The sequence below is a fragment of the Homo sapiens genome, chromosome 12 (assembly GCF_000001405.40).
Source record: "Homo sapiens chromosome 12, GRCh38.p14 Primary Assembly".
Classification (NCBI taxonomy): Eukaryota; Metazoa; Chordata; class Mammalia; order Primates; family Hominidae; genus Homo; species Homo sapiens.
The window spans coordinates 114,947,241-114,969,861 of record NC_000012.12 but is presented as its reverse complement, the minus strand read 5'-3'; the positions used below and the strand labels follow the sequence as shown (position 1 = coordinate 114,969,861).

General features: G+C 41.4%; 1 long non-coding RNA gene across 1 annotated transcript; it reads right to left on the bottom strand.

Moving 5' to 3' along the window:
* LOC124903080 (uncharacterized) lies at nt 1–21,702 on the bottom strand. Its single transcript, XR_007063587.1, has 3 exons — nt 19,195–21,702; nt 17,212–17,361; nt 1–381 (listed from the first exon to the last, which is right to left on the bottom strand). It is a non-coding gene; the product is annotated as an uncharacterized LOC124903080 (long non-coding RNA).
* Nucleotides 21,703–22,621: the final 919 nt, after the last annotated feature.

The window sequence follows — 22,621 nt, the reverse complement described above, 5'->3', positions numbered from 1 at the left end:
TACAGGCGTGAGCCATTGCGCCCGGCCAGAACCCTGGCTTTTAACAGTCCAGAGTTATGTCCTGGCTGAAAACCTAATTCTCTCAGTCCTTTTATAGCCAAGAGCAGCCATCAGACTGAGTTTTCATCAATAAAGTTTTGCATAGAAGTGTCGTGTGTTATTTCTAGGATGTTGTTGTAGAGGGAAAGGGTCTTCTGCTTTTCTCCTTCCTGCTGTTCTGGATGCAGGTGACATGCTAAGATTGGCAGATCAGGACATTATGCAGCACCTTGGTTCCCGATGAGTGAGAAACTTCATGTGAGAGCAGCGGTAGGCAGTCATTTCCAGTCTTCTTCCACTACAGAACCAGCTTGCCAAGGACCACCTCTTGGGACTATCGTTCTGTGAAACAGAGTTTGAGAAATATATTTTAGGTGATCTGGAAGGCATGATGAGGTGGTTAGTGGCTGAGATTCAGTGAAATCCATCTATAAACTGTGGGTGAGGCTTCTGACCTTTCGGGATGTTGGAGGAATGGTGAGATTTCAGCAGGGGCAATGGTCACCTCGCAGCCTCACGGCTGGGCCCAGTCATCAGTCTGTGAGGTCAAGGGGACCGTAGGTGGTTTGGTGGCCAACAGCAGTGACTGCTTCAACATATGGCGTGGGTTTATAGTTTTTCTGCCATGCAGCTGCATGTTTATTGTGGTTCTCCTGCTGATTGTCAATTGACATTAGACACTAAAGAATGTTCCAGTGCCTCTCAAATGTATCGTGGCTTCTCATAAACTTTTGTTTGTTGTGGCTGAAACATGGGACGATGAGACCTTTTTCAGCCTGTATTTTTGGAGCAGCTGTTTGATGTTTGTAAGAGAACATTTCTTTGTGTGCTTTAAACCACCATAGATGGGAGTAAAGTCAAGATGTGACTCCTTACTGCACTTCAGAGAAATTTTATCATGGCTTTGATTAACATTTTTCTTAAACTCTCTACCAAAACTTGGTACCTCAAGCCAAGCAAGTTGGAATTATTCACAGAGAGGAAAGCATCTTTAATCCCCAACTAGGTTACGGTATCCTTATAAAAGAATTAAAGTAGGCATTATTCCAGAGACTCACATGAATTTTCATTATCGTAGCCCAGCACAGAGCTTAAGCAATTCTATGCTACTAGAGTTATTTCTTTATCCTGCAGCACAAGCCAAAAATTGGGTCCCTTGATTTGCTGACCGAGGATAGCATTTAGAAGAAATGAAATAGATCCATTGGCCTCCTGTGGCTGCCAGGCCAAGTGGGAATTGAGGTTATAAAACCTTATATGAATATGATATTATCAATAAATGAGAATTACTATTGTTAAGAGTTATTGCGATGATTTTCAAATAACCCTGACAATTATATGTTTCTAATGCTAAGAACAGATAAATTCCATTAGCAGCTTCCCATAAGCATGATGCTAAGTGCTTTACACAAATAATCTCAAACCTCCCAATAATCCTAGGAGGTAGGAATTGTTATTAATGGCATTTCATGGAAGAGGAAAGTGAGGATCAGAAAAATTAAGTAATTGCCCAAGGACATACAGCTGAGACTGGTGTCCAACCTAAGGCTCCTAGACTCTCAGGATCATGAGCTTAATACATTATTCTGCAATTACTGCTTAACAGCTACTATACAATGAAGTAATGAGACTGCTACTTCTTTTTTTTTTTTTTTTTTTTTTGAGATGGGGTCTCACACTGTCGCCCAGGCTGGAGTGCAGTGGCACGATCTCAGCTCACTGCAACCTCCACCTCCCTGGTTCAAGCAATTCCCTTGCCTCAGCCTCCCGAGTAGCTGGGATTACAGGCGTGCCACCATGCCCGGCTAATTTTTTTGTATTTTCAGTAGAGGCGGGGTTTCACCATGTTGGCCAGGCTGGTCTCAAACTCCTGACCTCAGGCAATGTGCCCACCTCGGCCTCTCAAAATGCTGGGATTACAGGTGTGAGCCACAGCGCCTGGTTGAGATTGCTACTTCTTCAGTGACCATGTTTACTATGACTCCATGGGGAAAGCATTTGGGAAGATATTTTTTCTGAATGCATTAAAGAAATGTATTGCTGGACTTTCTTTTTCTCATCCTTAAAACAGGATGCTGACTTCAACAGTGTGTGGTGAGGATTAATGAGGCAGTGAATGAGAAGGATTCAGAGAGATGGTGGTAGGAGCCAAAGTCTCGGCTAGTGGGATTTGAAATGGTGGGCTTTTAAATTTTCTCATCGGCGCTAGTTCTTTCAGTGTACATTTGGTTTTGATTCAAAAAAGAAAAAAAATAGATTTTCAAAATGGAACCCAAGACTGTTCAACTCAACGATTCCCATACCATTGCAGCCTCTGCAAATGAAGTTGGTGGTCGCAGTTAGTCATGATTAATTCTGTTAGCCATGCACGTGTCTTAAAAACACAACTGCCAAATTTTGTGAGCTGAGAAGTTCTCAGTTCCCGCCCACAGGCATGCATATGTAGGGATTCCAAAGAGGGTTTCCAGGCATGGCTGAAACTTCTCACATGGGGCTACTCTTGTAGTTGGGAATGAGGCTAGGCCAATCCATCCTGGGTCTTCAGGAAGCATCTTGGCTTTCCAAGTCTTGGGCAATATTAGCCAAGAATTGTTTATCTGTTTTGATTTTTGCACTCTTTCCAAGTCGAGGACATCTGTGAAGTGTTTTCTTGATTGCAAATAGGGACCCTCTTTAGTTTGCTTGTGTGTGTTTGTTTTTTGTTTTGTTTTGTTTTGCTCCATCTAGAAGAATCACCAAAGAGAATAAAGGTACTATTGAGGGAAGAAGCTCACCTGACAAAAAATAAAATAAGGAAAATAACAGGAGTGTCTCTGTATTTATAATGTTGCTGCCAAAGGCCATGTGTGCATTATTGGATGTTAGGAGCTGGTGTAACATTGAGGGGGAAAAAAACAAAAACCACAGACTAAAGTCAGACTATGTTGTGTTAAACTCCTGGCTCTGCTCTTTACAGCTGTGTGACTATGAGTTAGTTACTTAACCTTTCTGAGCCTCAGTGGCCTTTTCCGCAAATTGAGAAGAAATGTGGTACATAATAATCATAGGCTATATTTGTTGGATGTTTATTATGTGCCTTTAACTCATTTAATTCTCAGAACAAGTCTTTCAGCTCAGTAATGCTATGCCATTTCAAAGAAAATCAAGGTTCAGAGATGCGATACCAGGAAAGGACTCCTATGCTGTCTGACTCTGGGGAATAAGTGCTTGCCTAATCACGGAGTTAACACATAAGGTTGCTCTGAGAATTCACTGAGAAGATTCACATAAAATGCAGCCTCCTAACCAAAAGTATAGGCAACAAAAGCAAAAATAGACAAGTGAACCTACATCAAACTAAGAAGCTTCTGCACAGCAAAGGAAACAAGCCACAAAATGCAAAGGCAATCTATAGAACGGGAGAACATGTTTGCAAGCCATTTATATGATAAAGAGTTAACAATCCAAAATATATAAGGAATTCCTACCCTGTGTAACAAAAATCAAATAAACTAATTAAAAAGTGGGCAAAGGACTGTACAGACATTTCTCAAGAGAAGACATTCAAATGGCTAACAGGTTTGTGAAAAGCTGTGCAATATCACTAATCAGAATCAAAACCATGATGAGATATCACCTCACACCTTTTACAATGGCTATGATAAAAAAGACAGAAGCTAACAAATGTTGGTGTGAATATGTATGCTGCTGAGGGAAATGTACACTGATACAGCCATTATGAGAACAGTATGAAAGTTTCTTAAAAAATTAAAAATCAAACTATTATATGATCCAGTAACCCCACTTTCAGGTATTACTCAAAAGAAATGCAATCAATACTTCAAAGAGAAATCTGCATTCTCGTGTTCATTGCAGCATTATTCAAAATAGCCAAGATATGGAAGCAATGTAAATGCCCATAGACAGATGAATGGATAAAAAAAAATGTGGTACAGATACACAACGAAATATTATTCAGCCTTGCAAAAGAAGAAAATCCTGCCATTTTCAATAACATGAATGAAACTAGAGGACATTATGCTAAGTGACATAAGCCGGGCACAGTAGGACAAATACTACACCATCCCACTTATACAAATAACCTAAAGCAATCAAATTCATAGAAGTACAAAGTAGAATGCTGGCTGCCCAAGCTGGGGGATGGAGGAATGGGTGGAAAATGGGGAGTAATTATTAAAGAGTAAAAAGTTTTAGCTGTGCAAGATGAGTAAGTCTTAAAGAACTACTATATAGCATAGTGTCTATAATTAGCAATACTGTATTGTATATTTTTTAATTTGGTAAGAATAAAAACTTATGTTAAGTGTTCTTATCATAATAATAATAATAATAAAGAAGGTGGGAGGAAACTTTAATAGGTGATGAATATGTTTACCACATAGATGGTGATGGTTTCACATACATATCTCCAAACCCATCAAGCTGTATGCATTAGATATCCACAGCTTTTTGTAGGTCAATTATACTTCCATAAAGTGGATTTTTAAAATTCCCTTATTTAAGCCCTAAAATTTAAAAAAGAACAGAAAAAATACCTGTTACCTCCTGGGCATGACATACTTAATTAAAATAGATTTATGGATATATAGATAGAGTGATTGAAAAAATACACACGCACAAAGAAACTTCCACCTCTCAGAGCTAAGGGAAAAAAAGGAAGGTGAGCAGAAAGGAATTTTCAGATAATGAGAGCTTACCATTACAATGAAACCATTGATATCCAACATTGAAGGGTCCAGAGGGGGAAGAGATTTGACAGAATGTGATCAATGTGGGAAAAGATGAATAAAGCCTCTATTCTCCCTAAGACCGCAGCCACTGAGGCATCAGGATGTTACATGGGAACATCAGCTTCCAGTAGGCCAACAGGTCAGGACTGTCAGGAAATACCTGTGGGTCCAACTAACAGGAATGTGGAGAATCTTCCATGTTAGAGCCAGTGACAATGAAAAACTATAAAGCATCAATAGACCCTTGGAGCTGAGCCCTGGAATTGATCTCTTCTTATTACAAATTTTCAAAAGGTAGTTCCACTTGCAGCTTTGTAGGTACTACACCATTTATTGAGCCACTGCTATTTCAGAGTCCTGACTTAGGTGCCGTGGGAAATAGGAACATAGCTGTCACCACCATGGAACTTGTAATAAAAGTGGAGACAATTTAAAATCCATGTGGTAGAATTAAAAGTAAGATTGAAATAAAGGTAAATTGCAAAGCATATGAATGACAAAACATCACGTCCACATAAATGCCATGAAAACATAAAAAGTATTGAACCAAAGTTCTGATTATCTGAAACCATCAATTGACTGGAATTCCTTTCTTCTATTTCACTTTTAGGAAAAATGAATGGATCAAAAAAATAAATAAAACTGGATTCAGAAATTTAGTCAAAAGGACAGCTCAGGGCATAGTCAAATTTACCACCAGAACATTTCAACTTCATTTCTGGATATCTTTTATTTACTTTCACTAGACTGCCAATTTCATGAGGTTGGGGCCACATTTTTCTGTTTGTTGCTGCATCCCTAGAGTCTAACAGAGTGCATGACACTTAGTAAGAGTGCAATAAATATTGGCAGGATAAATGCTGACCCCCAAGTGTCCCCCAGGTACTCAATCACCAAAGGAAGATTTCAATTGTGATCATCACCGGCCAAGAAAGAAGATGCAATAATTTTATAAAGATTTTCAAAAATGAGGTGTGGTAGATTAAAGCTGACCACAAATTCTTTGCTAATCCTCTCATTGAGAAATGCAACCTAATTCCTTCCCTTAGAATCTTAACTGACTTTAGTGACTTGGTTGACCAATGGAATGTGGCAGAAGGGACGTTCTCAAACTTCTGAGACTAAGTCATAAAAGGACTTTTGAGTTCCACGTGGGCCTCTAGAGAAAATGTTCCTTTTTCTGTGAGGCTTCGGCTGCCATGGAAGAAGCTCAAGTACACTGGGGTCTCTGTGCTTGGGAGAGGCCATCTGTAGGCAGCCCAGTTAAGTCTTCACTGAACTGGGTTTTAGCCAGGTCCTCCAAGTCCCTACAAGGCACCAGAGTTCAGAAAATTATTTCTGTAAAAGGCCAGATAGTAAATATTTGAAGCTTGGAAGGCCATATAGTCTCTGTCATGACCAATCAACTCTGCTGTTCTAACATGAAAGTAGCCACAATGCATGAATAAATGAGTGTGGCTGTGTTTCAATAAAATTTCATTTACAAAAACAGATGCCAGATTGGATTTTGCCTGAAGACCATAGTTTGCTGACCTCTGCTCTAGACCAGCCCAAGTGCCCTCTGCTAATATTGCATGGAACAGAAGAATCATCTAGCTGAACCCTGCCCAAATTCCTAACCTGCAAAATTATAAGTTACAATGAAACAGTTGTTGTTTTAAGCCACTAAGTTTGGGGCAGTTTGCTATACAGCAACAAATAATGAGAACAAAAGAGCTGGAACCAAAAAAAGTTTGGGGTAAGGAAGGTAGGGATAACTCTCACTCCATTCCCCATAAGCACTACAGTTGCTACACATGAGCACTGAGAAGAAAATACAGGCATAATCACCCGGGACTGGATTATAAGGTGAGACTATCCAGAAGTAAAGAGATTTGAGCTAAGAGTTAAAGAGGATGTTGCAGATGGGGGAAGGACAATAAGAAGAGGGGTAAAGCACTGGCAGTGTTGGCAGGACACCCTTGTTGTACCACTCCAGGGACACTGTTCCTGTTGTAGTTCATGTGAATAGAGCCACCTGGAGATGGTCATCATGGTAGCCTTGGTTAAGACAGATCAAGAGGCAGTCTAAACAAGCTTTGGAGTCAGATGGACCTGGGTTCACAACCTGGCTCTATCTCTTACTAAATGCATGATCATAAGCAAGCTATTTAACCTCTCTGAAGCTCACATTCCACATTTCAATAATACACTTCTATGTAAGTAAAATTTCTGGTATATAATAAGTCTTCAATAATATAGCTTTAATATATATATGTAAATATATAGATGTGTGTGTGTGTTTATGTACACAAACATATTTATAAACAAACAGAAAACCTACAGGGGCAGTGGAGTAGAGTGTGATTGAAAGCAAAGGTTTTCCAATGCATTTGTTGGTAAAAGTCATCAAATGTGCATGGAGCCCTTGCTCAAAAATTGTGAGAAACTTTAACATATTATCTTAAATACATGTCAATGTATTTAAGAATCACTTTGGGGTCTTTGTTGAAATGGATACCTGCCTCCTCCCCCAAGAGATTCTGATTCAGCAGGCCTGAACTTGGATCCAGGGATTTGAGTTGTCGACAAGTACCAAAGGTTTTGCCAATCCAGAGAGTCATCTGACCACACTTTGAGAAACTTCTTTCTGTAAGCCTCACAACATGAAGAACAAGCTCAAAGACGTCAGGTGGCTCACCCAAAGTCACCCAGTTGCACAATGCAGAGGTGGGTGTCTTGCTCCCTGTTCCATCCTCTTGGCCCTATCAAACACCTACCTACAAACCAGGTATGATGGCCATTGCTATTTTTACTGTGTCCCCAGGTTCCCACTTAAAGGCCTGGCATTGAGCAGCTGCTCTGTGAATATTGGCTGAATAGAACTGAATCAAAGTAAATCAAATGTCAGAGTTGAAAAGAGTTTGGGAATCTTCCAATCCAATCATCCCATTGTACAGATGGAAAAACTGAGATTAAGATCGTAGAAGGTGGTAGTCCTCATCCACACAGAGAACAAAGGCCTGGATTCTTAGCTTAGCATGCTTTGCTCTCCTCCATTTGGGACTTTGCACAAAAATGACATGCTAAATAAATGTGGCATGCATTCTGGTCAGTGGTAAACTGAAGCCAAGAGTGATCAAATCCCACCTAGATCCCATGACACTATAAATCTCAGCATTATGTTAAACGTGGTGGGTAGCAGAATTACCAAAATAATCGTGAAATCAGTCCTTTCTTGGTCTGGCAAAATTGCTCTCAACCTGTCACTCTATTATTCCATGTTATGGCCCTTGGATCAGTCTAAACAATCCCCCTTCTATAATTAAAAAAAATATTCCGTTGCTAATGTCCCCAGCTCCCTTTAGTGAAGGGAGCAGCTGCCAGGTGGGATAATGGAATGCCGGACATGTGAGATAGCAGGGCCAACAGCACAATGAGCTATTACGAGTTCCGTTTATTTTGCTTGGACAACAATTCTTAGAAAAAGGGAATTAAAGGCTGGAGTCTACACCCTCTAAACTTTTCTGGACAATGCATGAACTATCTCTTTTTACACAAAGGGTTGTTTTGTCATCTGTTTGGGCTCGTAATTACAGCTCCCGCACTTCACGAGCAAGGGAAACTTGAGCAAATAACTTAGCCTGTGTGTACCTCAACTTCCTCAAATGTAAAATGGGGGTGAAATAATAGCATCTACTTCTTGGGATAGGAAGATGGAAAGGAATAATTTACGTGAAGTTCTTGGCCCAGAGGAAGTGCTCAGTAAATGTTTACGTGTGGTGCCATTTGCAGTTAACAGCCTGACAATGGAGTTTTCATTTAGTTCTTTGTGTTGTAGACTCTTCTACAACCCGAAGACTCTTCATTTAGTTCTTCTTTGAGCCTATACACTCTCCAGCATAGTTTCCATGTAGCTGGGTTTAAGAAAGTTGATTTGGGTTATGTCTTACTAAGGGCCCATAAAACAATCACAGCGTGAGAATGGAAGGTAAAGTTCTCTCTTGAAACCAAAAACGTGAGACTTCTTTGCTTTTATTTCCCTTCAGGGCACCCATAATGTTTTCTGTTTAAAGGTGGGTGAAACTGGGAGAAGTTATCAGGAAAGCCAAGAAGCCAACAAGGCAACTCTCTTCCAACAGAGAACAGAAAACCCCAACACGTGTCCCCAAATTGTTCTCTCAGAATGCTAAGGTGGGAGGGGACTGTGGGTTGATCCAGTTTGGTAATCTCCAAACCTGGCCTTGCTTAAGAATCTCCTGGGGAAGCCTGCAAAAAATACAGATTCATAGGCCTTGGCTTGTAGATTCTGACTGAATAAGGCTAGGGTCTAGGAATCCGTATTATAACACCCTTTTCCCCAGGTGATTCTCACGTAGAAATGCTAAAGATGGAATTTGGGAACCACTGATCCAGCTTAATTGTAACAGATGGAGAAACCGAGGCTCAGGGAAATAAATGATGTCTCTAAGGCCAGCCAGTGTCAGAGATGGGTCTCTAATCCAGGCTTCTGATTCAGCTACACTACACCCCTTGGAAATATTTCTAGGGGAATCTAGTGTATTTTCTCAGGTTGGCGTTGTCATTAGACCACACATGGAGAATCTCAGCCCCTTCTCTTCAATCTCTAGGTCTCAGAGAACCATGAGGCATCCTCTGGGAGACCAGTTGGGAATCAGTCGTTTAATATTTCCCCATTGTTCCCAGGGGTACCTTCTCCCACACCCTTATCTTCCCCCTTGCCCAAGCAGAGTTCACAAAATAGGTAGCTAAAACCAAACTGAGGAATAGAAGCATTCTGCAAGTTTGTAGAAACAGCCATTAAAACCATTAGCAAAACATTGACACCAGCCTGACTGGGAATTATTCTTTTTTTTTTTTTTTTTTTTTTTGGAAGACTGGAATGGTTTTAACATCTCTGATTGCAACAACTGATCTGGGGACACAAGCCTGGTATTTAACTCTGCATCTGCTGGTGCAGCAGCTCTGTCAAATGGCCCCTCAATGGCTGGGCACCACTCAATGCTATCAAGATCTTTAATCTTGAAAAGCCACAAGATAGGACCCTTTCCCCATTTTTGTTGCATGTGGTTACCCAGGACTTAGGAGCAAATGGATTAATGTTTCAAAGCCTTCTGAGATATTTGGATACATACACCTGATAGTCTAGATTCTGGGGGCTCAGGAGACAGAGTTTATGCGCACATGCTTTATGGGGCAGACTTTGCTACGGCCCTGATAATGGAGGTTCCACTTATGGCAGGAAATAAGATTGTATACAGAAACCCCAAGATGAGGAGAGTATCTGGTAACAGGCCATTCTCCAAGCAAGGCTGGTATTCCAGTAGATAGGCTGGGAGAAAAGCACAGAGTGAGAGCATGACCTTTCTCTTGTCTGTTTGTTGACCTAACCTAACACCTTGGTAATGAAGGGACACTATTACTTAATGCTTAATGGGTATTTAGCAAAGTTCAACTCACATCTCTGTCCATTCATCAGGGAGCTTTCAATTCCTAAGGAAGAAAGCAAGGAAAAGTGAGATCAACCTTGCAGTCAGGAGACAGATAGGCCTGAATTTGGTTGTGAAGTCATTTACCAGCTGTGTGGCCTTGGCCAAGTTGCTAAACTTCTCTGAGCCTCAATTTCTTCATTTATAAAATGGGGGAGGCGGAGGTTGCAGTGAGACGAGATCATGCCGCTGTACTCCAGCCTGGGCAACAGACCCAGACCCTATTTCAAAATAATAATAGTAATAATTAATAATAATAGTGCCTAGGAGTGTAATTAGTGATGTAATATATGGAAGCACTCAATAAATGGTAGTTGTTGCTGAGGCTGTAGCAGTTATTATTTGGATGGTTCAAGATTCCAACGTATCAGATTCTCATCCCCTAGAAAAAGGGAACCTGAGGCTGCTGAAAGCCAGGGCTATTCCCCAAAGGTTTGATTAGTTCTTTAGCTAGGACCTCCATGTTTGCAAGAGACAGAAACCCAACTCAATGGGTTTAAGGAAATAAAAATAATTTATTGATTCACATAATTTAAAAGTCTAGGGGTGGAGTTGTCTGCTTTCAGGTATGATTGAATTCAGGTACTCAAATGATATCATCAAGCTTTAGTTTCTCTCCCCATCTTTTAGTTTTATTTTCTACTGGATTGAATTTATTCTCAAGATGGCAGCTTCATCCTTATAGCCCACTAGCCTGGCAAACCCAGCAGAAAGAGAACTCCAGTTGTCCAATAGTTTCAGTGAAAACCCAGGGGCCTCCCCTCATTGGCTCTGACTGTGGCAACTTAGATTATGTGCTCAGCTTTGCACCGATCACCATGGCCATAGGGAAGTGGAACTCTTATTGGTTAGGCTGAGTCACGTGATTCTGCCCGATTACTGAGACTGTACCTAAAGTCAAATGGGCGAAGAATGGCATAGGGAGCATCCCCTGCAAAGTGCTGAGATTACAGGTGTGAGCCACTGCACCTGGCCTCTGGTGAGGGCACTTATATATATATAACTTCCTGGAGGACAATTTAGCAACAGCTATCAAAATTCAAATGCACATACCCTTTAAGAATTCTAGGAATTTATCTTACAGTAAAGGGCAAAATAATCTATATACAAACACTGTTACTAATAGCAAATGATTGGAAACAATCTAAATATCCATTCACCAGGGGACTGGCTAAATAAATGATGGTACATACATACAATGGAATATTATAAAATGACAGCTGTAAAAAAGAATGAAGCAGCTCTTTATGTAATGATTTGGGATGAATTATAGCATATATTAAGTGAAAAAGGCAAGATGCAGAATAGTTACTACGGTGTGCTATTTATATTAAAAACTTGCAGGTATAGCAAAGAAAATTATTCATAATTGCTTTTAATAAGCATAAAAATTCTCTGGAAGGGCTGGGTATAGTGGCTCATGCCTGTAATCCCAGCACCTTGGGAGCCAAGGTAGGAGGCTGCTTGAGGCCAGGAGCTTGAGACCAGCCTGGGCAACAACGTGAGACCCTGTCTCTAAAAACATTTAAAACAAAATCTCTGTAAGGAAACTGATAAATGGTAATTACTTATGTGATCAGAAGGGAGCAAGACTTTTCACTGTATACAATTTTACACTTTTTGATTATTTAGCCATGTAAAATATATTGTCTGTTCAAAAATTAAATATTTTAAAAACAAGTTATATATATATAGTACAATCTTAATTAAAAAAAAACATAAATGCATAGAAAAAAGAAGAAAATATACCTAAATGTTAGAGTGGTTATTACTGCTCAGTGTTGGGTTATGGGTGATACTTACTTTCTTCTAAAGTCTTTTTCGTATTTTCTGAATTTTCAACAAAGAAAATATATTACTTATATATTCAGAAAAAAAAACGGCATAGGGAGCATCGTGGAAGGAGAATCAAGACAAAGAATGAGAGAATGAATTATGAAGAAACAAAAACAAGAGTTAAACCCTCTACAGTGAGCATTCAGGTAGGTGGGACAGCTCTCCCCCACACACGGAGGTAGTTCCTTAATCTTAGGCGCAGTGGGAGAAGCAGTGTTTGGAGGTCAGGCCAGGTCAGCATCAGATGGAGTTCTAACCCAATTCTTCAATCCTCTTCAAAGCCAGACTCAGCACGGGCTCTGATGGCACCAGTGGGAGAGATTAAAGGATGCAAAGGGCAGAGGAGCCAGTGCAGGACTCTGATTGTCTAGGCTTGTGTCATGTGACCATTTCTGTATTCAGAGGACTTACATACAAAGAATATTTACTTTTTGTATTTTTCAGAGTTCTCCAGAGAAACAGACCCAATAGGGCGTGTGTATGTGTATGTGTGCCTGTGCGTGTGAACAGGGAGGAATAGGGCTTCCCTTGCCCTGGTGGTGCAGCCTTCACTACAGTGCAGCCTTCATTGGTTTTCTCTCCTTCCGTATCTCACTTCCCCATCCCTGCGGTTGCTTCCCGGGATCACATCCCAAATAAACCACTTCAACCCAAATCCTGCCTCTGTGTCACCACCTTAAATCCAGCCATCCAGAAACACAATTTGGGTCATCCTATTCCCCCGTGTAAAACCCACCATTGCTCTCAGAAGAGCCCAGATTCTTCAACAGGGAATACAAGGTTCTCCAAGTTCTGGCCACTGCTAACAGTTTTGGCTTCATCTCCTGCTCACCCCCACAACCTCTCTATAGACTTCTTGGAGTCCCCTGAAAAACACCAGAGTGGAGCCTGCCTCCAAGCCTTTAAACACACTGCACTGTCTTCCAAAAACTCCCTTCCTGACCCCCATTTCCTCTGCCCCCGTCAGCCCCATTTGGATGAAATGAACTCTTTTCATTGAAGATGAACTCAAGAATTTTCTTGTCCTAAAATCTTTTCTAACACTGGCCTCCACCCCGAGGGTCAGAGATCTGCTCATTAGTATTTCAACTTTACCCTGCACATCTTGATTAGAATATTTTCCATGCTCCAGTGTACATGTATATCTTTCCCATTTAAAAAGGAGTTTTTTTTTTTTTTTTTTTAGACAGGGTCTTGCTTGGTTGCCCAGGCTGAAGTGTGGTGGCACGATCATGGCTCACTGTAGCCTTAACCTCCTGGCCCCAAGCAAACCTCCTACCTCAGCCTCCCAAGTAGATGGGACCACAGGTGGGTGCCACTTTCTTTGCAGAGGTGGGGCCTTGCTGTGTTGCCCAGGCTGGTCTCAAACTCTTGGGCTCAGGCGATCCTCCTGCCTCAGCCTCCCAAAGTGCTAGGATTACAGGTGTGAGCCACTATGCCCAGCCAAGGAGACTTTTGAAAGTCATGACAATACCTTATTCCATCCTCAGATTGTAGGACAGTAACTAGTATGTTACTAGCAATTACACAATGCTAGTTGGATGAATAAGGAAGTACTCTGAAGAACCCAGGAAATATTAACACCCACTCTCACCCCTTTGCCCATAACTCGCTTTCTAAGAAAGAAAAAAAAAACATATTTTAAAGGGGCTCTGAAGTTGATAGAATATTGATGTATTAAATGTGTACTGGTAAACTTTGGCCCAGTAGCTAGGAAGTTAATATAGTATAAGGATAATGAAAGATGTTTTGTAAACTGTTAAGTACCAAGGATATATTCAGTGGTGTTTTTATTACAAACAGCATCAACAGTTTAGGGAAACGAGAAAAGTAGGAACCAGGGTGCCTTGTTGAAGGTCTTTCAGGAAGTAAATAAGAAAGGCAGGATTATAATGAAGTTTCTGAATTTTGTCCCAACATTTTCTACATGTAAATAGGCATCTAAAACATGACCACTGATGTGTAAATAAAAGATAGTTCAAGCTTTTCCTGAAGTTTGGAGATAAGAGTCAGAATCTAATGAATCATAAGAGCAGCTCCCACTTAAGAGCCCTGATCCAGGCCCTTTGCAGACAGTATCTGTAAGCCTTATGACTGCTGTCTCATGAGTATTTTAACTCCAATTGACAGAAAGAAAACAGAAACTTAAAGGGGTTAAGTCACTTATCTGGAGAGAAGTTGAAGGCCATATATGGTGACTCATGCCTGTAATCCCAGCACTTTGGGAGGCCTAAACTGGAGGATTGCTAGAGGCCAGGAGTTTGAGACCAGCCTAGGCAGCATAGTAAGTGAGACCTCTGTCTCTACAAAAGAATTTAAAAAGGATCAGGCACCATGGCTCTCGTCTGTAATCTCAGCACTTTGGGAGGCCAAGGCGGGAGGACAGATTGAGACCAGGAGCTTGGGACCTGCCTGGGGCAACATAGTGAGATCCTGTCTTTACCAAAAAAAAAAAAAAAAAAAATTAACCAGGCATGGTGGTGCATGCCTGTAGTCCCAGCTACTCAGGAGGCTAAAGTGGGGGGATTGCTTGAGCCCGGGAGGTAAAGGCTGCAGTGAGCTGGGATTGTGCCACTGCACTCCAGCCTGGGTGATAGAGCAAGACTCTGTCTCAAAACATAAAAATAAAAACAAAAAAAATTTTTTAAAGAATTTTAAAAATAAACAAATAATAAAAAATAGAAAAAGGTTGAGCTCAGATTCAAACCTAGACATGGTTAATTCCAAAACCTTTCATCTCCTGCCTCACACGCTCTCAGAAAGAGAAGCTGACATTGCTAAGGAGTTCTGTGTGTCAGGCACTTGCTTACTGTAATCCTCATAACACTGCAAGGCGGCTTCAGTTATAATCTCCGCAGTTTTGCAGATGAGGAAACTGTTTCATGGGAGGTCAAAGGTCGAACAAGAATTTGGCTCCTTTGAACATGAGAGGCCATGTTCTTTCTATGCCTTCCTGTGTCTTAGTTCTGGCTGTTCATCAGAAAAAAACAAAGAGCTTTTGAAAAGCTATGAATCTCCAGACACCATCCTTTTAAAGCCTGATACAGTCATTGCCACCACAAAAAAAAACAAATGTGGAAACAAATTAGGTGGGTGAAGGCAGAAAGGAGAGGACTGTTTTCTTCAAGCCAAAGCACCACAGAGAAATCCAAAAGGGTTTCTGCAAATGTGCACCGCTTGTCCTGATACTGACAACTTTGCAGTTGAGGAAGTAGAAAACTCTAACCTCGAATGGGTATGGCTTACAAGACAGCAGAAAGGTAGAGTCATAAGAGAAAAAAAAAATTAAAAGTATGAGCTTACTTTAAGGTGGGGGTTTCATAAGTGGCTCTCTTGGAGTGGTTAAGTGATAGCACAGCCACACAAATAGCTACTTGGCAGCCTTGAAATGGGATGAATTTGTTTTAAAATTCATAGACATGGAAAGATGTCCAGGACATGGTAAACAAGCCAACAGTGAAACACCTCAAACAGTATGATCCTGTAAGTAAGTACAATAGGAACATACTACTGCACTTTTTAGAGCATAGTAGCATATACTGGTGGGGTGTAGTGGGTCACTCCTGTAATCCCAGCACTTTGGGAGGCCATGGTGAGCAGATCACCCGAGGTCAGGAGTTCAAGAGTAGCCTGGCTGTCTCTACTAAAAATAGAAAAATTAGCCAGGCACGGTGGCACATGCTTGTAATCCCAGCTACTCAGGAGTCTGAGGCAGGAGAATTGCTTGAACCTGGGAGGTGGAGGTTGCAGTGAGCCAAGATTGCACCACTGCACCCCAGCCTGGGCAACAGAGTGAGGCTCCATCTCAAAAAATAACAACAACAAAAAAAAACATTGTAGCATATACTATAGTACAATAGAGTATAGTACAGTGTGATGTAGTAGATACTATATGTGTGTGTATACAATATAAACGTATGATGTTCATATACATAGTAATCATTCTGTGTAAATACAGCAGGAAATAGTAACTATAGTAGCAATTGTACTGCATTTATTACGCATATATAGAAAATACGAATATATTATACATGAATATAGTATGATCCTGTTTGTTACATAGTTGGAATACACATAAATATATAGAAGGATGCTCAGCAAAATATTGATAGTGGTGGAGTTTGGAGGGATTTTTTTCTTTCCTTCCTTCCACAAGTATTTATTGAGTTCTAATTTGTACCAGACATATCTTTCTTCCTTATATCTTTTTTTAATTGCTTGAAAATTCTAAAAGCATGTCTTTATTTTTACCTCAAAGAACAGATAATTTGAAAATAAAATGGGCTCCTGTCAATATCCCCAATAACCACAGATGGAGACTTTGGTGACATTTTCGGGAGACCCAGGAGAAGTGAAAAGATAGGGAGAGGAGAGGCCAACATGGACTCCCCCTGCCTCCTCCTCCCTGCCTCCTCCTCCCTGCCTCTGCACACTAAGTTTTTTTCTTTTTTTTTTTTGGTCGGGGGTCACCATCTGTACATTTGTTCTGCACAAAAATAAAGCCATCCATCTCCCTTACGGTGGTGTCATGTAAGCTCAGGAAAAACCGCAGTGCACAAGGGGGGCCCTCGGTGGGAAAAACACTTATCTGCCTCGCCGAGTTCAGAGCTCCCCTGAAGGCGTCCTTCGCTAGACTCAGGGGGTGGGTTTTGTTTATTCCCCTGGCTCACAATGAAATGTCAGGAACACATGCTCAGGGTGAGGTGGGGCCCTACCGAGGTTAAAAATGGAACAGCGGCTTTGATCTCAGGCCAACACCAATGACGCTCGGGGTTGGGGCCAGAGGGAGACGTCATGTTCCCTCGCTGTGTCTCTGCAGAAGGCGCAGACATTCCCCTCCTGACTCCAAGAGCAGACACGGCCCCAGACTGGAAAATGGACGGGAGGCACCACGCAAGGAGTGAGGCCTGGGGAGCTGGGAGAAGCAGGCCTTCTGTGGGTGGAGTGGAGGGCCTTCTCTGCTGCAAGTGGGAAGCCTCCATCAAAAAGTTCACTATCTGATGGTGCCAGGACTTGGAATGGAATCTTCAGGGGTGGCTGGAGAGGGGGCAAAGGTCAGCAGGCCAAGGAATCTCTTCCCCCTTGTGAAGAATCTGTGGCCGCCATTTTGTACTCACCTCCCTAGACTCTTCCTGTGGTACTGAGAAGGCCTCTCTTTTCTCAACCAGCAAGTATATGTTGAGGGTCTGTTCTCCTCTAAAACTGGACTGAGTGCTGGAGATTGAACAGTGGAAACATCCAGGCTTGGTCCTTCTTTTCCTTAAGGTCTGGTGGGAAAGAGAGGTGTGGGACAGACCGTAGCAACATGGCAGGTTAAGAGTTCTAAGGAGGGCACATAGAGGGTGCAGGAGACCACACTGCGGGTGGTAACCTGGGCTTGGTGGGGGAGGGCAGGGAGGGAATCTTAGAGAAAGCTGGAGATATCTAAATTGAGGCCTGGAGAATAAAAATAAGAGCTCACTAGGTAAAAGAAGTGAGGGAAGAGTGCTCAAGTACAGGGGACAGCATCTGATCTCAAGAAAGGCAGAGTGTAGATGGGAAGACTTGAAAGAATGAAACACAGGTGTGAGGTGAGAGAGAGGGTGCAGTGCGTTTGAGTAAACATGAACTGGCTGCTCCCATTCTTACCTACTTTTACTACCAAGTTGTTCCACTGCTTCTCGGGGGGTTTGAGTGAAGAAATCTCCCTGCATTCGGGCTGCTATAATAAACCACTATAAATTGCACAGCTTATAAGCAACAGCAATTTATTTCTCACAGTTCTGGAGAACAGAAGTCCAAGATCAAGGTACCCCCAGATTCAGTGTTTGGTGAGGGCCACTTCCTGGTTTATAGACAGCCATCTTTTTGCTATACTTTCACTTGGCAGAAGGGACAAATGAGCTCCCTTGGGCCTCCTTAATAAAGGCACTAATCCTATTCATGAGTACTCTCCTCTCCCAACTTAATAACTTCCCAAAGGCCCTATGTCCTAATATTTTTACCTTGGGGCTTAGGATTTCAACATATGAATTTGGAGGGGACGCAAACTTTCAGACCATAGCAAAATCATTATTCTAATTAGAGTCAGCATTTTCATTGAGCATGCACTATGAGCCAATAACTCTTAAATATATGATCTCATTGCATTCTCACAAAAAACTCTTACCAATTTAATAATCTGAAGACTGGACACAGTGGCCTATAATCCCAGCTACTCAGGAGGCTGAGTCAGGAGGATTGCTTGAGGCTGGAAGTTCAAGACCAGCCTGGACAACATAGCAAGACCCTACCTCTATTCATCATCATCATTATCATCATCATCTGAAGGTCAAAGAAATTACTTAAACCCACCAAGGTTACATAGCAAGTGTATATATGTCAGGAGGTGGCAGGATTTGAAACTTGTGCTTTGAATACCACTTTTAGCACTTGTTCCATCTTAGTAGAGAAGGATTTTCTTACTCCGCTTTGGTGATTGAATCGCTTCCCAGATTAGAGATAAAAACTTCGTCGGTCAACTGACCCATTCAGTCAGTCAATGGTTGCACATTCGTTTGTGTCTGCTTTGACAAGTCCTCATCTCTCCCTCTCTACCTTCTCTTGCCTGTCTCTCAAAGCATCCCCTGGAATATTTTTACACCTGGATTATAGGAGGACATCTCAGTCTTCTAAGAGAGGATGGAACCTCAGAGATGGAGCTGTTTAGGGTTTTCTTTGCAGCTTTACTTAAGGTCATATTTTAAAATTCACCCAGTTGCTTTATCTGGTATTATACATCAAAAGTCATTTGGAAGTGCCTCTGGGCTAGGACTTAGAATATCTTAATGTCATGAGATGTGTTAAGGTCTGAGGCATGGACTTGAAATTTTAGAAGTAGAAATAAATTTTGAGATTACCTAGTGCATCCTCCTGGTTTCACAATTACAAAATTAAGTACAAAAAGAGGAGGCAGCTTTCCCAAAGGCATATGGATATTTGATACAAATGTTTGGTTATATGGTATGTGGAATATACTTCACTATTATCTACTAATTCATGATAGGTTTTTTTCCCTGTGCATGGGTATTCAAAATCTTAAATGGGTTGAAGAATGAGGAACAAAAGTAAGTATTTCTTACTCTTTTTCTTCTGATAACAGCAATAATGAAAGTATCCATCCTTTCTCCCTATAAGTATGCAGAAATGTGGCAGGATTGAATACTTCCTTGTAGCTCTTAAAACCCTACAATAAAGTGTGGTTAATAGGCTATATTACAGTTATTTTGTAACCAAGATCTAAGCTACAGAAAAGAAAAAAATAAAGACACACACACACACACACACACACACACATACACACACACCCCTCCATCACCGAATACTCTCCAATATAAAATAGAAAGGCAGACCTAGACCCAACAATTATATCATGACAGAAAATGAACTTCAAAAAAAATTTGATATCAAAGATTTGACATCACCTCTGAGTGTCATGATATGATGGATGGTCCCGAGCTGAAAGGGTTTATCATCACCTTCATGATCATGGAATCTCCTGGGTTAGAGAATTAAGCTTTTTGATGTTACCATTTAATCTTGGGCCCAACACAATGGAGAAAGAGGACAAGGTACAGGAGTCTCTGAGCATCACTTCATCCTGAGCACTCTCATTGATTTCCAGTGAGTTAGGACCCTCTCTTCAATAGACCAAATTTATTGTGTAGCGTCTAGGTGTCTGTCCTCTTCAGTAGCTAATCAGCTCCCTGAGAAACCACGCCTATCTGGTTTGTTCTTGTGTATCTGCTGCCTATCACAATGCCTAATGTGTAGCAGACATTTGACAAATAATTGTAGAATGCAATACCAAATGCTTGGGTATTTGGATTACACATGAATTGAGTGTCACCAAGGAAGATTCTAGAATTTTCTTCTTTATAATTTCAGTATTGGTCTTTTGTTAATCACTAGGGTTTTTAAAAAACTTTATCATATTTCTCATAATTAACACTATTAGCTTGCTTTAAATAAAACTAGTTCTCCTTTATCTGAAGGCTCATGGAAAGTAGATTTATAAACAAGAAGACTCAGCACACTGTCTTCACACCCCGAAATGCTGGTATGGGCAAAAAGAGAAAAGACGTTTCCTCATTCACTCTGCTAACTCTTTCTGTGAAAGCTGCTAGGAAGAGTCATAAATCTCCCTATTGTGTGAAGTCCATTTTCTCAAGAGCAGCAAGCAGAAAGATGAAGTCATAAAAGGCACTAAAGCAGGTATCCTAAAACCCCATATCTCTGTCTCAGAGGGTGGTGTTCACAAAAGACATCTGGAAAAGAACCCTAAAAAAGCCTGCACCCCATCAGATGCAGAGGCAAAATTTGAGGAAGCAGGGTCAGTGACTTCAACAGAATTGCCACCCAAAGAGTGACAGAGCACGACTTTCTTTGTCTCCCAGTGACAGGTGACACCATCCCACGGGTGCCTCCCCAGCAAGGAGCCAAGGCGTCATGTTCATTCTTCTGTGGCTAAGCCACCATCAGGCTTTTTAAAACAAAGCAACTTTAACACCCGAAGAATGTTGCTGTAGCAGAAAATCTCACATCGCTTCTATTGTAGGAGCTGGGTGGCATGGAAACAAGCCAATGGTTACATGCAAGAAAAAGAAATGAGAAATGAAAACAACTGGGGTGGTTATCAAAGAAAAGGAGACCGCCAGATTGGGAGACCAGGAAGTTATTGGTCTCTGGATATTCCTGGGCTGGGTAAATTTGGGATTTGTACATTCTGAGCTTTATCTCCGGTGGGGCCTTCTGCTGGTCTGTGGAGAAGACAAGGAAAGTGAAACAAGCCACCTTGGTGGGGGCCATTGTGTTCCCTTTAAGCTGCCCATGGAACCACACCCTGAAAATTCTGGATTTTCAGGTGCTACTGTCTTTCCTGGATGGAATCATGCCACCTCTTTTGTTTGTTATTTTTCTTAATGCTCTTGGCTGAGAAGATTAAATTCTTGGGTGGGCCCAAGCAGTGTGGCTTCACTCTGCCATTTTCTGGCTGTGTCACATTAGGCAGGAAGTTTTATCATCTGAAGTCGCACTGTCCTGCTGTGTAACATGGAGACGCTAATCTGAACATCATTGGATTATTTTAAATATTTAATGAAATCAATGCCTTAAAGAGTCTGATTTATAGAAGGCAGATATTCGCTTCCTTCCCCTTTCCTCTGTTTCCTCTGTGAATTAAAATTCTCCTTATTAACTGCCAGAAACAACTTGGTGGAAATTACTTTAATAAGCCAAGTCTGAAAGATGAAAAAAGAATTTCATTCCTTTCACTGAGAGAAGATCGTGCATCTGGAAACTCGGGATATGATGACTATTCCTTGCATTGTTTTGCTATTTATTTATTTTCTCAATAATCAATGCAATGACAGCAATGGCATCCTACATTTGAGAGTTACTGTACTTGAAAATTACTCCTGAAATATATGGAGACTTTTATAGAAAGTCAAACAATTCTAGAAACACGTTGCCAGCAAATAAAAGAGTGAATGGTGGGGGCTGGAAAACAGTCTACCTTGTGGGAAATTTTCAATTTTGAACAAGTGGCATATAATTGAGTAATAATAGTAATAAGGCCGGGGGCGGTGGCTATAATCTCAGCAATTTGGGAGGCCAAGGCGGGTGGATCACTTGAAGTCAGGAGTTCAAGACCAGACTGACCAACATGGTGAAACCCTGTCTCTACTAAAAATACAAAAAAATTAACCAGGCATGGTGGCAGGTACCTGTAATCCCAGCTACTTGGGAGGCTGAGGCAGGAGAATTGCTTGAACCCGGGAGGTGGATGTTTCAGTGAGCCAAGATCGCGCCATTGCACTCCAGCTTGGGTGACACACCAAGACTCCATCTCATAAAAAAAATATATATATATATATAATAGTAATAAAAGTAGACATAATTAAAATAATCATAGCAATAATAATAGCTCCCATTTCTTAAACACCTACTTATGCATTGGGCATTCTCTGAAACACTTTCTGTATATTATCTCATGAAATTCTCAACACAAGTCTCCCAGAAAGATATTGTATTATTTATGTATTTTACTGAAGAAGAAGTAGTACCGTGAAGAGCTGGCAAGTCTTGCCCTAAATCTTGCACCAGTATGCGGTGGAGCCAGGATGGGAATCTTGATCCTTCTCTCTTCAGAGCTAGGAGGGTGTTTTTATTTTTACCATTTAGGGACTATCACAAATCTTTTTTTTTTTTTCTTTTGAGATGGAGTCTTGCTCTGTTGCCCAGGCTGGAGTGCAGTGGTGCAGTCTCGGCTCACTGCAACCTCTGCCTCCCAGTTTCAAGCAATTCTCTGCCTCTGCCTCCCGAGTAGCTGGGAATACAGGTGCCCGCCACCACACCCGGCTAATTTTTGTATTTTTAGTAGAGACAGGGTTTCACCATCTTGGCCAGGCTGGCCTTGAACTCCCGACCTCGTGATCCACCCACCTTGGACTCCCAAAGTGCTGGGATTACAGGCGTGAGCCACCGTGCCCGGCCACAGATCTTTTTCTT